The sequence below is a fragment of the Homo sapiens genome, chromosome 14, assembly GCF_000001405.40.
Source record: "Homo sapiens chromosome 14, GRCh38.p14 Primary Assembly".
Classification (NCBI taxonomy): Eukaryota; Metazoa; Chordata; class Mammalia; order Primates; family Hominidae; genus Homo; species Homo sapiens.
Genome location: NC_000014.9, coordinates 50,400,855 through 50,417,057, shown reverse-complemented (window position 1 = coordinate 50,417,057; position 16,203 = coordinate 50,400,855).

Genomic DNA, 16,203 nt, shown 5'->3' with positions numbered 1-16,203 from the left:
ATGGGATTTAGCACAGGAGAGAAATGAAAGAAATCCCCAGATGATGAGGATGGAATATCCAAGGATGACCACTACACCAGGCATAGAGAGTATATTGAAGCATATCAGAAGATCCTGGCCACATGTTTTTAGAAAGATTAATAAAATATCCAATGTATCTCAGTATCTTAAGAGTGAGGCAACCAGCAAACTACGAGGTTCTTCCTGAAACAAAGCCTGAGTCAAGAACGTGGGTTAGTTTATTTTAGAGATCCCAGAAACTAGGAGTGAGGGACTTGTGATATTGCGAAGGAGAAAGGGGAAAGTCAGTATAAAACATGGTGTATTATTGAGGTCATTTCTGTGTAGACAGTGGGAGCTTGATTCCACCAGGTCCTCAAAGAAGCTATGTGATAGCTCCCTGAATTGCCTCCTGAAAGACAAGTGGCTGGAGCATTTAACCGTACGCTGTCATTTTTCACTCATCAAGTTGCTGCCAAGGGCATCATCTCCTTGCACATGGGGCAGTTTGCACATGGGCACAGTAGGCTCCTTAAGTGTCAAAGAAGACCCTGAGACAGAAAGCTGAAAGAGTAGGAAATGGGTCTTCAGTTCCCATGGAGCTGTCCACTGATACTGGCTGGAATCAGAAGGTGGGTGGAGGAGATGCTTTTCAAGGCTCCAGGGTTCAATCAGAGGTGACAGTGATTCTGGAGAAAAACCAACCAAGCCAAACAAAAAACTGGCAGTTAACTCCAGGAAAGCAAAATGGGCAAAAAAAAATGACCACTGGATGAATGGCATAACAATGTTTGTTAACAAAATATTCATCTAATCAAAATTGCAGCAACTATATTGGGAGAGGACATGGTATTGTGGAGGTTAGAAAAGTTATCAAATTCTCATTTTCCACAGTAGAAAATCAGTGGATAATACCTAAAAACTGAAAATCAAGGGATTACATCAAACAAAATCTGCACAGCAAAGGAAGCAATCAACAGAGTGGGAGAAAATATTTGCAAACCATACATCTCTTAAGGGGTTAACATCCAAAATACATAGTGAAATAACTCATAGCAAGGAAACATCCCAATTTTAAAATGGCAAGGCCAGGTTGCACGGCTCACACATGTAATCACAACACTTTGGAAGGCCAAGGCAGAAGGATCTGTTGAGACCAGTCTGGGCAACATAGCGAGACCCCATCTCTACAGAAAATTTTTTAATTAGTTGGGTGAGGTGGTGCACACATGCAATCCTAGCTACCCAGGAGTCTGAGGCAGGAGAATCACTTAAGCCCAGGAGTTCGAGGTTCAGTGAGCTGTGATTGTGCCACTGCACTGAAGCCTGGGCAATAGAGCATGAAGACCCTGTCTCCAAAAAAAAAAAAAAAAAAAAAAAAAAAAAAGCAAAGGACCTGAACCTGAATAGACATTTCTCAAAAGAAGACATACAAATAGCCAACAGGGCCAGGCGCTGTGGCTCACGCCTGTAATCCCAGCACTTTGGGAGGCCGAGGCGGGTGGATCATGACGTCAAGAGATTGAGACTGTCCTGGCCAACATGGTGAAACCCCGTCTCTACTAAAAATACAAACAAATTAGCTGGGCGTGATGGCCGCACGCCTGTAGTCCCAGCTACTCGGGAGGCTGAGGCAGGAGGATCGCTTGAACCTGGGAGGCAGAGGTTACAGTAAGCCAAGATTGTGCCATTGCACTCCAGCCTGGCAACAGAGCAAGACTCCGTCTAAAAAAAAACAAATGGCCAACAGATACATGAAAAAATACTCAATGTCACTAATCAGGGAAATGCAAATTAATGAGATATCACCTCACACTGTTATTATCAAAAAAATGAAAGAGGCTGTGGTGGCATATGCCTGTAATCCCAGTGCTTTGTGGGGCTGAGGCGGGAGGATCGCTTGAGGCCAGGAATTCGAGACCAGCCTGGGCAAACATAGCAAGACCCTGTCTCTATTAAAAAAAAAAAAAAAAATTTAAGAAAAATTACCTGGGTGTGGTGGGCATGCCTGCAGTCCCAGCTACTTGGGGGGCTGAAGTGGGAGGATCCTTTGAGCCTGGGAGTTAGAGGCTGCAGTGAGCTATGGTCGCACCACTGTACTCCTGCCTAGACACCAGATCAAGGCACTGTCTAAAAAAAAAATGCTGGAGAAGGAAACCCTTGTACACTGTTGGTAGGAATATAAATTAGTGCAGCAATTAAGGAAAACAGTATGGAGGGTCGTCAAAAAAAATTAAAAATAGAACTCTGTGATCCAGCAATCCCACTACTGGGTATGTGTCCAAAGGAAATGAAATAAGTATGTTGAAGAGTTACCTGCGCACCCAAGTTCATCACAGCATTATTCACAGTAACCAAATAAATCAACCTAAGTGTCCATCAGTGGATGAATGGATAAAAAAAAAAAAATAGGGTATATACACACAATGGAATACCATTCAGCTTTGAAAAAGAGAAGGAAATCCTGTCATTTGTGACTACATGGATAAACCTAGAGGACATCATGTTAAGTGAAATAAGCAAGGCACTGACCAACAAATACCACATGATTTCACTGACATGTGGAATCTGAAAAAGCAGAACTCATGGAAGTAGAGAGTAGAAGTGTGGTTACCAGGGCCTGGAGCTGTGCTGGGGGATCTTAGTTTGGGGATGGGGAGATGTTGGTTAAAGGATACAAAATTTCACTTAGGAGGCTTTGGGTTTTTTTTTTTTTTTTTTTTTTTTGAGACGGAGTCTTTTGCTCTGTCGCCCAGGCTGGAGTGCAGTGGCGCGATCTCGGCTCACTGCGAGCTCCGCCTCCTGGTTCACGCCATTCTCCTGCCTCAGCCTCCCGAGTAGCTGGGACTACAGGCACCCGCCACAATGCCCAGCTAATTTTTTTGTATTTTTAGTAGAGATGGGGTTTCACCATGTTAGCCAGGATGGTCTCGATCTCCTGACTTTGTGATCCGCCCGCCTCAGCCTCCCAAAGTGCTGGGATTACAGGTGTGAGCCACTGCGCCCGGCCAGGAAGTTTTTTTAATCAAGAACATTATTTCGTGGCATGGGGATAATATAATCTGCCAAAATAATGAAAAGTTGTTTTTGAGGAGAGAGATGGAAGGGCATGCTTTGTGATAACAAACTTTTACAGGTCTATTTGATTCTTTATGTGCATGCATACATTTGATTTTTTTCATGTTAAAGAAAAATGTAACTTTAAATAAAAGCATGAACCCCTGCATGACCAGAACAGTGTGACAAAGCCAGTTTCTTACACTGTACTTTGTACACAGTAGGCATTCAATAAATATCAATTGAGCGTAGCTAATGTATGCGTCATGTGGAAGGAGGCAAAAGTAGCTGGAGACAAAAAGCTAGGTGAAGTAAATCCCATAAGGTCTTGTGAGAAAAAGCAGTTTCATCAAACTTCTTTTCTTTGGCTAAGCCTCCTCTCCAGCCTTCTCTCCCACTATTCTGCCAAGCACCCTGGGATACTGGCCACATAGAGGCCATGATCACTCCAGTTTCATTGCTGGGCTCATAATGGCTCTTCCATCCTACAGTTCTGATTTATTTTATCAAACCTTAAATCCTTTACCTTAATGATACTCAGTTCAAGCCATAACTTTTCTATGACAGCTCTGACCACTTAATCCAAATCCAAATCGTTTTCTGTTTCTCAGAATTTCTACAGCACATATGGATTGTACATTTCAGTGTAACATTCAATTGTTACCTACTAGCCAAACCACTTAGCACTTACCTTAGACAACTTATTCAACCTGTCTAGGCCTCCATCTTTTTCTCTGTTGATTGGAAATAATGGCCCCTTCATTGGTTGTTAGGAGGATTAAAGGACATAATGTGGATTAGTTTCCCGCTCATAGCAGTAACTCAAGAAAAACAAAAAAAGTTGACTTATTTATTTTTCACCAAGAAGTTCACTAAGGGCATAGGTATGTTTTCATTCTTTAACTGTTCCTTTCAGTATGTCACATATTGGTGGACTTAGCATGGGGCTTTTAAATTTTTTTTCTAATTCCTTTGGGTATATATTCAGTAATGGGATTGCTGGGTCAAATGGTATTTCTGGTTCTAGATCCTTCAGGATTCGCTACACTGACTTCCACAGTGGTTGAACTAATTTACACTCCCACCAACAGTGTAAAAGTGTTCCTATTTCTCCACATCCTCTCCAGCATCTGTTGTTTCCTGATTTTTTAATGATCGCCATTCTAACTGGTCTAAATGGGGAAAGGACTCCCTATTTAATAAATGGTGCTGGGAAAACTGGCTAGCCATATGTAGAAAGCTGAAACTGGATCCCTTCCTTACACCTTATACAAAAATTAACTGAAGATGGATTAAAGACTTACATGTTAGACCTAAAACCATAAAAACCCTAGAAGAAAACCTAGACAATACCATTCAGGACATAGGCGTGGGCAAAGACTTCATGACTAAAACACCAAGGGCAATGGCAACAGAAGCCAAAACTGACAAATGGGATCCAATTAAACTAAAGAGCTTCTGCACAGCAAAAGAAACTACCATCAGAGTGAACAGGCAATCTACAGAATGGGAGAAAATTATTGCAATCTATCCATCTGACAAAGGGCTAATATCCAGATCTACAAAGAAGTTAAATTTGCAAGAAAAAAACAACCCCATCAAAAAGTGGGCAAAGGATAGGAACAGACAGTTCTCAAAAGAAGACATTTATGCAGCCAACAAACATGAAAAAAAGCTCATCATCGCTGGTCATTAGAGAAATGCAAATCAAAACCACATTGAGATACCAACTATAGCATTTTTAAAAGAAAATATCTTCATGAACTTGAGGTCTGCAAAGATTTTTTTGAACAGAACATTAAGTTTTGACTATAAAAAGGTTGGTATGGCGGCTCACACCTGTAATCCCAGCACTTTGGGAGGCCGAGGTGGGCAGATCACTTGAGGTCAGGAGTTCAAGACCAGCCTGGCCAACATGGTGAAACCCCGTCTCTACGAAAACTACAAAAATTAGCTGGGCGTGGTGGTGGACACCTGTAATCCCAGCTATTCAGGAGGCTGAGGCAGGATAATTGCTTGAACCTGGGAGGTGGAGGTTGCAGTGAGCCAAGATCGCGCCACTGCACTCCAGCCCGGGCAACAAGAGTGAGGCTCCGTCTCAAAAAATAAATAAATAAATAAAAGTTGGTAAAATACTTTCTCTACTCAAGACGAGTAGAGAAAATCTTCATTTTATAAAAATGAAGACAAGCCACAGAATGGAAAAAGAGGCTTGTATTACATATAGCCACAGAAGATCTCCCAGAAGACATTAAGAACTACAATCAATAAGGAAAAGGCGGACAACCCGGTAGAAAAAAGAGCAAAAGATTTCGAGCAGGCATTCCACAAAAGATAGCATCCAAGTAATCAATAAATATGTGAAAATGTATTCAGCTTAATTGGTTATCAGATAAATGCTCCCTTCAAATGGATGCTGGACTGCTAAAAACACCAGATGTCCTGTATACCATAAACAACCACTTGGTGAAGCTTAAAAAAAGCAAAACCACTCACCGCATTTGAGTGAAATGGTTCATTAAATCATCATGATATTCAACCACATATTCTTTCCTCAGTAATTTTGCTAAGTGTAATATTTAGCACACTGTAAATGTGACATTTGATTTTGGGTATCTGACTTTATCCTGGTCATGTTTCTTAAAGCTAAGTCTTCCTGGATTAGTTACCACCATGATTATCTTACAATGAATAAAAGACACAAGAGAATCCAGAGATTTCTGTTGATCATGGAGTACCTGCCAGGGTGCCAGGGCATCCTGGCCATTTGACATGTAAATGGTCTACATAAAGCACTGACTCTGGGTCAAACTTTCAAGTCCATAATTACTTCTCAGTTTGTGGTTTCTGAAAACCCACAGTGAATAACAATGTCCATTTAAATTCCTTAAAGTCCAGTTCGCAAATCTCCTCCAGGATTTCACAACCTTGATATGGTTTGGCTGTATCCCCAACCAGATCTCATCTTGAATTGTGAATTGTGGCTTTGCAACTTCTAAAGATCAGAAGCTAAAGTACTAACATGGAATTTTATGTTAGATAGAGTATTAGGGGGGTCATAGAGTTTCCTTGAGGTTCCTAAAATCGTATTATACAGCTGCCTACACTAATAGCCTATGTCATATCAGGAAGTGATGCTTACATTTTATTGAGAGAAAAGAGAAAAACAACATTATTGGCACCTGCTCTGGGCCAGGCACTGTGTTAAACATTTTACATGAGAGATCGCATCTCATCTTCAAAATGAGTCAGTGAGGCAGCTATAATTATCCCTATTTATAAGTAGAATAGAAAAATACAGCAGATACTTCTCATGCTTTATGTTTGTCTTTGAAGACCCTTCCAATATTAGAGTAATTTCCCGCCTTGTGACTCTCGTGTCTCCAAAGAAGAAGCCCAACTCCCTTTCCCAACACCTAGCAGCTACGGTGCAGACTCCTCCAACCAGACTTACGCACACAAGTCTCAGTCTGAAAGAGAGCAGCACAAGGAAGTACGTGCTGTCCTGAACCATTGTTCTGGCTTGGATGGTGGAGAGGAGTCTGGCCTTTGTGGGTAGGAATGATGCAGAGTCGTGGGTATAGCATCCAGCATTAGCAGAGCCAAGTATAGTGCCAGCAGCAGCAGCGGCAGCTCTAAAGTCTGGCTGAGGCAGTCCTGCAGAACAGTTTTGTTATGTTTCTAACTGTGTAGTCTCCAGATCTGGCTTTCTGACCCTTCTGGAGATTCCTCAAGCTATTTAATATCCTTGAATAAATCCCTTTCTGCTTAAACAAGCTGAAGAGACTTCTGCAGTTGTCAGCTAAGATCCCAGAATACAAATGAAAACCACATTGAGATACCAATTCACAACCACTAGGATGGCTACTATCAAAACAAACAGAAAACAAATGTTGGTGAAGATGTGCGGGAATTAGAATCCTTGTATACACTTTTGGTGGGAATGCAAAATGGTGCAGCTGCTGCATAAAACAGCAGCAGTTCCTTTAAAAATTAAAAATGGAATTACCATATGATCCAGCAATCCTACTTCAGGTATATACCCAAAAGAATTGAAAGCAGGGTCACAAAGACATTTGTACACTTGTGTTTATAGCAGCATTAATCAAAATGGGTGGAAGCTTGGGTGGAAGCAACCCAAGTGTCCACTGGAAAATGAATGGATAAAGAAAATGTACATACATGCAATGGAATATTATGCACTCTTAAAAACTAAGGAAATCATATGCTACCTGTGTACACCTTGGACGAACACAGTTGACCTTGAAGACATTAGGCTAAATGAAATAAGCCAGTGACAAAAGGACAAATACTGTATGATGCTACTTACAAGAGGTACCTATAGTAGTCAAATTCATAGACACAGAAAATAGAATGCTGGTTCCCAGGGGTCAGGAGAATGGAGAATTTTCTTTAATGGGTACAGAGACTTGGTTTTGCAAGATGATAAGAGATCTGGAGATGGATAGCATTGGTTGCATGATAATGCGAAAGCATTTAATACCACTGAACCGTACACTTAAAAATGGTAAAGATGGCAAATTTCATATTATGTGTATTTACCATATTTTTTTTTTAAATAAAGGTTGACAGTACCAAATGCTTGCAAGGATGTGGAGCAACTGAAACTCTCATATGTTGTTGATGGGAATGCAAAATGACACAGCAATTTTGAAAAAGCCTATAGCAGTACCTTAGAAAATTAAGTATCTATTCACCATACAATCTAGCCATTTCAATTCTTGGTATTTACCCAAGAGAAAAAACACATATACCTACAGAAAGACTTCTTCAATAACCAGGGGTCAGGGATGGGGGACACGGCAACTTGTGGTATGCTTATGAGGGAATGGTTCTACATCTTGACTTTATCAATGTGAATATCCAGTTGTAATACCGTACTCCAGTCTTGCAAGATGTTATTACTAGGGGAAACTGGGTAAATAGTATACAAGATCTCTATGTGTGATTTCCTTTTTTGTTGTTGTTTTTTGTTTTTCGAAACAAAGTCTCTCACTGTAGCCCAGGCTGGAGCGCAGTGGCGCGATCTCAGCTCACAGCAACCTCTGCCTCCCAGGTTCAATTCTCCTGCCTCAGCCTCCCTAGTAGCTGGGACTACAGGGCACGTGACCACACCTGACTAATTTTTGTGTCTTTAGTAGAGACAGAGTTTCACCATTCACCATGTTGGCCAGGCTGGTCTCAAATTCCTGACCTCAGATGATCCGCCTGCCTCAGCCTCCCAAAATGCTGCGATTACAGGCGTGAGACTATGCCTGGCCCTCTATGTGTGATTACTTACAACTGGATGTTTACAATTATCTCAAAATAAAAGCTTAATTAAAAACAAAAACAAAAACCTTAAAAGCCAGGTGTGGCAGCACACACATGTAGTACTAGCTACTTGGGAGGCTGAGGCAGGAGGATTGTTTGAGCCCAAGGAATTCAAGGCTGCAGTGAGCTGTGATCACGTCACTGTACTCCAGCCTGGGCAACCACAGCAAGATCCTATCTCTAAAAAACAACAAAATTTTAGACATATTCTTGACCAACACACAAAGTAACTTTCCTGGTTTCACTCAGCCAAGAAAGGGTAGAACCCAGATCCGAGCCCAGGTCTGGTGGGCTCTCTGGCCCTTGCTCCTCCACCATGTGCTGTCTCCTTTCTAGAGATTCCCCCATGAGCAGATGCACGATGTGGTGGCAAGAGTGCTGCTCTGGCAGTGGGAAACATTGGGTTTCTCCAATAGAAACCCTGGGAGTGTGGATTAGGACTCTGAATGACTAAATAAATGTTTTTCCTTGATTGCTAAGCCCGAAATGAATCCCTAAACTTTAAATTGTTTTCAGTGGAGTAGGGAATACATTTTAGTAGTAAATAAATTTCTCATCCAAACAGAAAATAATACACAGGGATTATCATCGTCATGATGATAAAAGCTAACATGGGGCCGGGCACGGTGGCTCACGCCTGTAATCCCAGCACTTTGGGAGGCAGAGGCGGGTGGATCACCTGAGCTCAGCAGTTCGAGACCAGCCTGGCCAACACGTGAAACCCCGTCTCTACTAAAAATACAAAAATTAGTTGGGCGTGGTGGCACATACCTGTAATCCCAGCTACTCGGGAGGGTGAGGCAGGAGAATCGCTTGAACCTGGGAGGCAGAGGTTGCAATGAGCCGAGATGGCACCACCGCACTCCAGCCTGGGCAACAGGGCAAGACTCCATCTGAAAAAAAAAAACAAAAGCTAGCATGGATTTAGCACTCAATCCTCACAACGTGAAGAGGTAGTTCATTTCAATGTTGCAGACGACACATATGAAACATCAGGAGGTTAAGGAACTTGCCCAAGTTCTCACAGACAGTTACTAGCAGAGCTGGATTTGATCCCAGACAGTCTGGCTCCAGAGTTCACACTCTTATTGGGGAAATCAGGTCAGATGATATTGTAGAAAAATGAATAGGTTGTTGTTTAAGGTGAAGGATTTATTTTATTATTTTGGAGGAATACTGTTTAAATGCATATTTTTTACAAGGACCGACATGTGGATTCACTTTCGATGCCTCACAATAAATACCTCACTCCTAATATTTGACAATGAGCCATTCCTGTGAAAGCTATTTACAATAATAGAACTTTCACATGTGGTTTTAACTATGATCTTCACACAATCCTTGGCATGCATGCAGTTTAGAGATAATCTTATGGAACTATGTAAACTTTTTTGATCAATACATGACTAAAAATTCAATGGTTGTCATGGAAAATGTATCTTGGGTGCCAGAGGTTTCTGTTTGTACAACTAGCTATATAGACGCTAATGAATAAGCATCACAGAGTTTCTGAAAGGGAGGAGAAAGCTGATAGGACTTACAGTATTAACTCCATTTAAAAAACAGATGCATTTCTTAGAAAAAAAAAATCATCCTAAAATTCCCAGGGAGTCTCAAGGGGCCCTAAGTAGCCAAAACAATCTTGAAAAAGAAGAACAAAGTTGGAAGCCCCACACTTCCTGATTTTATAACTACAAAGAACAGTAATTAAGAAGGTGTAGTACTGGCATAAAGATAGATGCATTAGTTCATTCTCATACTGCTATAAAGATACTACCTGAGACTAAGTATAAACTACCCGAGACCGGGCGCAGTGGCTCACGCCTATAATCCCAGCACTTTGGGAGGCCGAGGTGGGTGGATCACCTGAGGTCAGGAGTTCGAGACCAGGCTGGCCAACATGGTGAAACTCCGTCTCTACTAAAAATACAAAAATTAGCCAGGCGTGGTGGCAGGCGCCTGTAATCCCAGCTACTCGGGAGGCTGAGGCAGGAGAATCGCTTGAACCCAGGAGGCAGAGGTTGCAGTCAGCCAAGATCGCACCATTGCACTCCAGCCTGGCGACAGAGTGAGCGAGACTCCGTCTCAAAAAAAACAAAAACAAACAAACAAACAAAAAACTACCCAAGACTGGATATAGGCTTTCTTTATAAACAAAGAATGTTTAATTGACTTACGGTTCCACATGGCTGGCGAGGCCTCAGGAAACTCACAATCATGGTGGAAGGCAAAGGGGAAGCAGGGACCTTCTTCACAAGGTGGCAGGAGACAGAAGAGAGAGAAGGGGAAAGAGCCCCTTATAAAACCATCAGATTTTGTGAGAACTCACTCACTATCAGAGGAACAGCATGGGGGAATCACCCCCATGATCCCAATCACCTCCCTCCCTTGACACGTGGAGATTACAGGTCCCTCCCTCGACATGTGGGGATTACAATTCAAGATGAGATTTGGGTGGAGACACAGAGCCAAACCACATCAATAGACCAAGCGAGCAGAACAGAGAGCCAGAAATAAACCCTTGCATCTGGACAAATAATTTTTGACAATAATGCCAAGACTACAAAATGGGGAAAGAACATGCTCTTCAACAACTGGTGTTAAGAAGACTGGATATCCACATGCAAAAGTTGGAACATTATCTTACATCATATACAGAAAGTAAGCCAAAATGGCCAACATGTAAGCCCTTCATGTAAGATCTAAAGACCTAAATGCAAGATCTCCAATTATCAAACAAAGCACTAATGTAAGATCTTCAATTATTAAACTTCCAGAAGAAAACAGGAGAAAAGCTTCAGGACATTGGATTTGGCCATGATTTCTTGGATATGATACCAAAGGCATAGGCAATGAAAGAAAAAATAGACAAATAGGACATCAAACTTAAAAACATCTGTGAGTCAAAGGAATCAGTCAACTGAATGAAAAGGCAGCCTACAGGAGAAAGTAATTGTAAACCATATATCTGATAAGAGATTAATGTGCAGGGTATATTAGGAACTTCTACAACTCAATAACAACAAAAACATAACCAAATAACCCAGTGAAGAAATGGGCAACAAACTTGAATAGACATTTCTCCAAAGAAGATATACGAATGGCCAATAAGCACATGAAAAAATGTTCAGCATTACTAATCATTAGGAAAGTGCAAATCACAACCTCAATAGACTATCACCTCACATCCATCAGGATGGCCACTATCAGGAGAACCAAAAATAACAAGTGGTGGCAAGGATGCAAAGTTAGAACCCTTGTATACTGTTGGTGGGAATGTGAAATGGTGCAGTCACAGTGGAAAACAGTATGGCAGTTCCTTAGAACATTTAAAATATGTTCACCATATCATCCAACAAGTCCACTTCTGGGTATATACCCAGAAGAATTCAAAGCCAAACCTTGCAGAGGTGGAAGCAACCCAAATGTCCATCCACAGATGAATGAAGAAAGAAAATGTGGCTGGGCGTGGTGGCTCACGCCTGTAATCCCGGCACTTTGGGAGGCTGAGGCGGGTGGATCATGAGGTCAGAAGATCGAGACCATCCTAGCTAACACGGTGAAACCCTGTCTCTACTAAAAATACAAAAAATTAGCCAGGCGTGGTGGCGGGCACCTGTAGTCCCAGCTACTCGAGAGGCTGAAGCAGGAGAATGGTGTGAACCCGGGAGGCAGAGCTTGCAGTGAGCCGAGATCGCGCCACGGTACTTCAGCCTGGGCGACAGAGCGAGACTCCATCTCAAAAAAAAAAAAAAAAGAAAATGCAGTGTCTACACACAATGGAATATTAAGCAGCCTTAAAAAGAAGGAAATCCTGTCACATGCTGCAACATGAATGAACCTTGAGGACATTATGCTAAGAGAATTAAGCCGGTCACCAAAGGACAAGTACCATATGATTTCATTCACATGAAGTATCTAAAGTCATGAAAATCATAGAAACAGAAAGTATGAAGGTTAGGGTTAGAGTAACCAAGAGCTAAGGGGAGAGGGAATTCCTATTTAGTGGATAGAATTCCACTCTTGCGAGATGAAAAAGTTCTAGAGATCTGTGTACAACAATGTGAATGTACTTAAACTATGAAACTATACACTTAAAAATGGTTAAGACAGTAAATTTTGTGCCTGGTGCAGTGGTACGTGCCTATAGTCCCAACTATTCAGGGGGCTGAGATGGGAGGATCACTTGAACCTAGGAGTTCAAGACCATAAGCCGGACACAGTGGCTCATGCCTGTAATCCCAGCACTTTGGGAGGCTGAGGCAGGTGGATCACCTGAGGTCAGGAGTTTGAGACCAGCCTGGCCAACATGGTGAAATCCCGTCTCTACTAAAAATACAAAAAATTAGCTGGGCGGTGGTTGAGGCCGCCTGTAATCCCAGTTACTCAAGAGGCTGAGAGGCAGGAGAATCGCTTGAACCCTGGGGGTGAAGGTTGCAGTGAGCCAAGATCAGGTCACTGCCCTCTAGCCTGGGCAACAGAGCGAGACTCTGTCTCAAAAAAAAAAAAAAATTACTGTAGTGAACTATGATCATGCCTGTGAATAGCCATTGCACTTCAGCCTGGGCAACATAGTGAGACTTCATGTCTAAAAAAAAAAAAAAGGTAGTACATTTAATGTTATGTGTTTTTTACCACAAGAAAATATAATGGAAGCATTTCAAAGAAAAAAAAAGAAATGGATGCATTTCTAAGATAATCTGTATGAAATCTATTTTATGTAAAGCGAGAAATATTTTTAAATGCAAATAATTCATACTTCTTGCCCTTTCCTCTCTTCTTCCCCATTTTGTCATACTTTATTTTATGTCTGTTTTAATATTGGGTTCCCATAAGGTAGATTTATATTTCTTTAACCATAATTAGAGCTACCTAATTTGAAGCCAACAGTACAGTAGTGTGAGAAGAATACAACTTGAAATTGAGACCCAGGTTCTAGGCCTGTTTGTTGTCACAGATTTGCTTTTGGACTCTGAATGAGTCATTTAAATTTTCTGTATCTGTTTCCTCAAATGCCAGATGTGCCTTCTCTCCTTCACAGACCCTTGTGAAGTGTTTTGAAAAACAAAAAGTACAATGTAAACACCAGCCCTCCAAGTCCTCCTATCTAGTTTCCTCCATGGAGGAACCCCTCTTGGGGGGAGGCAGGAGAGTTTGCTCTGCAAGGAAACACAGTGTTTCATCTTGACAAAGTGGCTTCTGAGTCTCCAGTGCCCAGCATGGTGTCTGACACATGTCAGCAGGAAAAGTTGGCTTTCCAAACTGCTGATTCTGTGTTACAGCTTTAAGCTAAATTCAGAAAGTAATTAATGTTCTTTCCTATTTATTCGATCTCAAAAATGTACACTTTGCAGGGCTTTTCTCTAGAATATAATGATGCCAAAGTCATGATAGTGCAGAAATGTTCATAGATGGCCTTATGATTAAGGATGTTTAGCAACCAACTGTCCAAAGTGGCAAATAGATGTATAACTTGAGGTTTTGAGACTTATTTCCTGGAGAGGATCATATTCATTGACTCACTCACTGGTAGCCCAGGGCTAGCCACATAAACCTTCCAGGGTTTTAGTGTTAATATTGCTGAGCTCTCCTGGCATGTGGGTTTGTTGATGAAAGTACTGGGTGGTTCTTTGAAAACCTGGAAATGTGAAAACAGTGTTAACACTCAGAAAAGAGGCCAGGTGTGGTGGCTCACACCTGTAATCCCACCAATGTCGGGAGGTCGAGGTGGGTAGATCACTTGAGGTCAGGAGTTCAAGACCAGCCTGGCCAACATGGTGAAACCTTGTCTCCATGAAAAACACAGAAATTAGCTGGGTGTGGTGGCACATGCCTGTAGTCCCAGCTACTTATACCACTGCACTCCACCCTGGGTGACAGAGTGAGACCCTGTATCAAAAAAAAAAAAAAAGAAAGAAAAGAAAAGAAAAAAAGACTCAGAAACAAAAGATTTTAGAAGAAAAGGTACTTTAAAAGGACTAGCTCATCATATATAAAGTACAATAAAGGCCAGGCACAGTGGCTCGCGCCTGTAATCTGAGCACTATGGAAAGCTGAGGCGGGTGGACCACTTGAAGTCAGGAGTTTGAGACCAGCTTTGCCAACATGGTGAAACCCCATCTCTACTAAAAATATAAAAATTAGCCAGGCATGGTGGTGTAGGCCTGTAATCCCAGCTACTCTAGGAGGCAGAGGTTGCAGTGAGCCAATATTGCACCACTGCACTCCAGCCAGGGTGACAGAGACTCCATCTCAAAATAAATAAATTAATTAATTAAAAAGTACAATAAATATTTAAAAGGAAAAAATACATACAGAATAACTAAGGTTAATTAGAGAATGAAGACATTTTACTTTACTATTGGCTGAGCCTATATATAAAATCAGAAATGATAGGCTCCTTTTAAAATTGATTTTCCCATATATTTACATTGATTCAGCAGTCTTTTTTTTTTTTTTTTTTTTTTTGAGATGGAGTCTTGTTCTGTCACCCAGGCTGGAGTACAGTGGCACAGTCTTGGCTCACTGCAACCTCTGCCACCTGGGTTGCAGTGATTCTCCTCCCTCAGCCTCCCGCGTAGCTGGGACTACAGGCATGCACCACCATGCCTAGCTAATTTTGTATTTTTAATACAGACGGGGTTTCACCATGTTGGCCAGGCTGGTCTCGAACTCCTGACCTCATGTGATCTGCCCGCCTCGGCCTCGCAAAGTGCTGGGATTACAGGCATGAACCACCATGCCCAGCTGATTCAGCATTCTTTTCTATCTCCAGGTAAAGGGAAAGTTATTTGCATGCCTGGCTTTGTAACATTCTAGCAGTGATTGGTCAAGAAGAATGCGGCTGACAGCTGACACCTGGCTTCTCTTCAGGATGTTGTGAATTCGGATTGGACCAGCAGGTCTGCCCTGCTGTTAGCTCTCTAGGGCATCCAAGGACAGAGGATCATTCTCAAGGCATTCTTAGTTGTTCTAACTCCATTCACCACTACAAGAGCATGGGCTTTGGAAACAGGCAGAGTTGGGCCTGAAACCTGTGTTCAGCCCTTGATAGCAGGGTGGCTTTGTCTCTACTGATCAATCTCTCAGAGCCTCAGCTTCTTCTTTCATAAAACAGGCCAGTTAATAATCCCAGTCAGTTAACAAATCCATGTAAGATTGTCATAAAGATCAGAGATAATGTGGATACTGAGCCTGAAATGCGTCCCTAAATGATAGTTATTAGCTTTTGTCTGTATGGACTCTGGAATCAATTTCTTTCCCAATTCCACTTAAAACAGAGACAATAAATTCAAGTATTTCCTCAAGCTGCTGTAGAGTGTCATTTTAAAATGACATTGACTCAACTCCCCTTTCCTTACAACATAATTGGAAAAAAAAAAAAAAAAGCTGGCTGGGCACGGTGGCTCATGCCTGTAATCCCAGCACTTTGGGAGGCTGAGGCGGGCGGATCACGAGGTCAGGAGTTCGAGACCAGCCTGGCCAACACAGTGAAACCCCATCTCTACTAAAAATACAAAAAAGTAGCCAGGTGTGGTGGCGGGTGCCTGCAGTCCCAGCTACTCGGGAGGCTGAGGCAGGAGAATGGCTTGAACCTGGGATGCAGAGTTTGCAGTCAGCCGAGATCGCACCATTGCACTCCAGCCTGGGCAACAAAGCGAGACTCCATCTCAAAAAAAAAGAAAAAAGGCTTCAAGCATTGGCCCTGGGTTCTGCACTCAGATGAGGCTTCAGTGTTCTGCCCAATCTCATGGAAGTTCATTCTCCTGGTGCTGGAGCTGCACACACATGAAGTTGCTGAGCTACCATGAG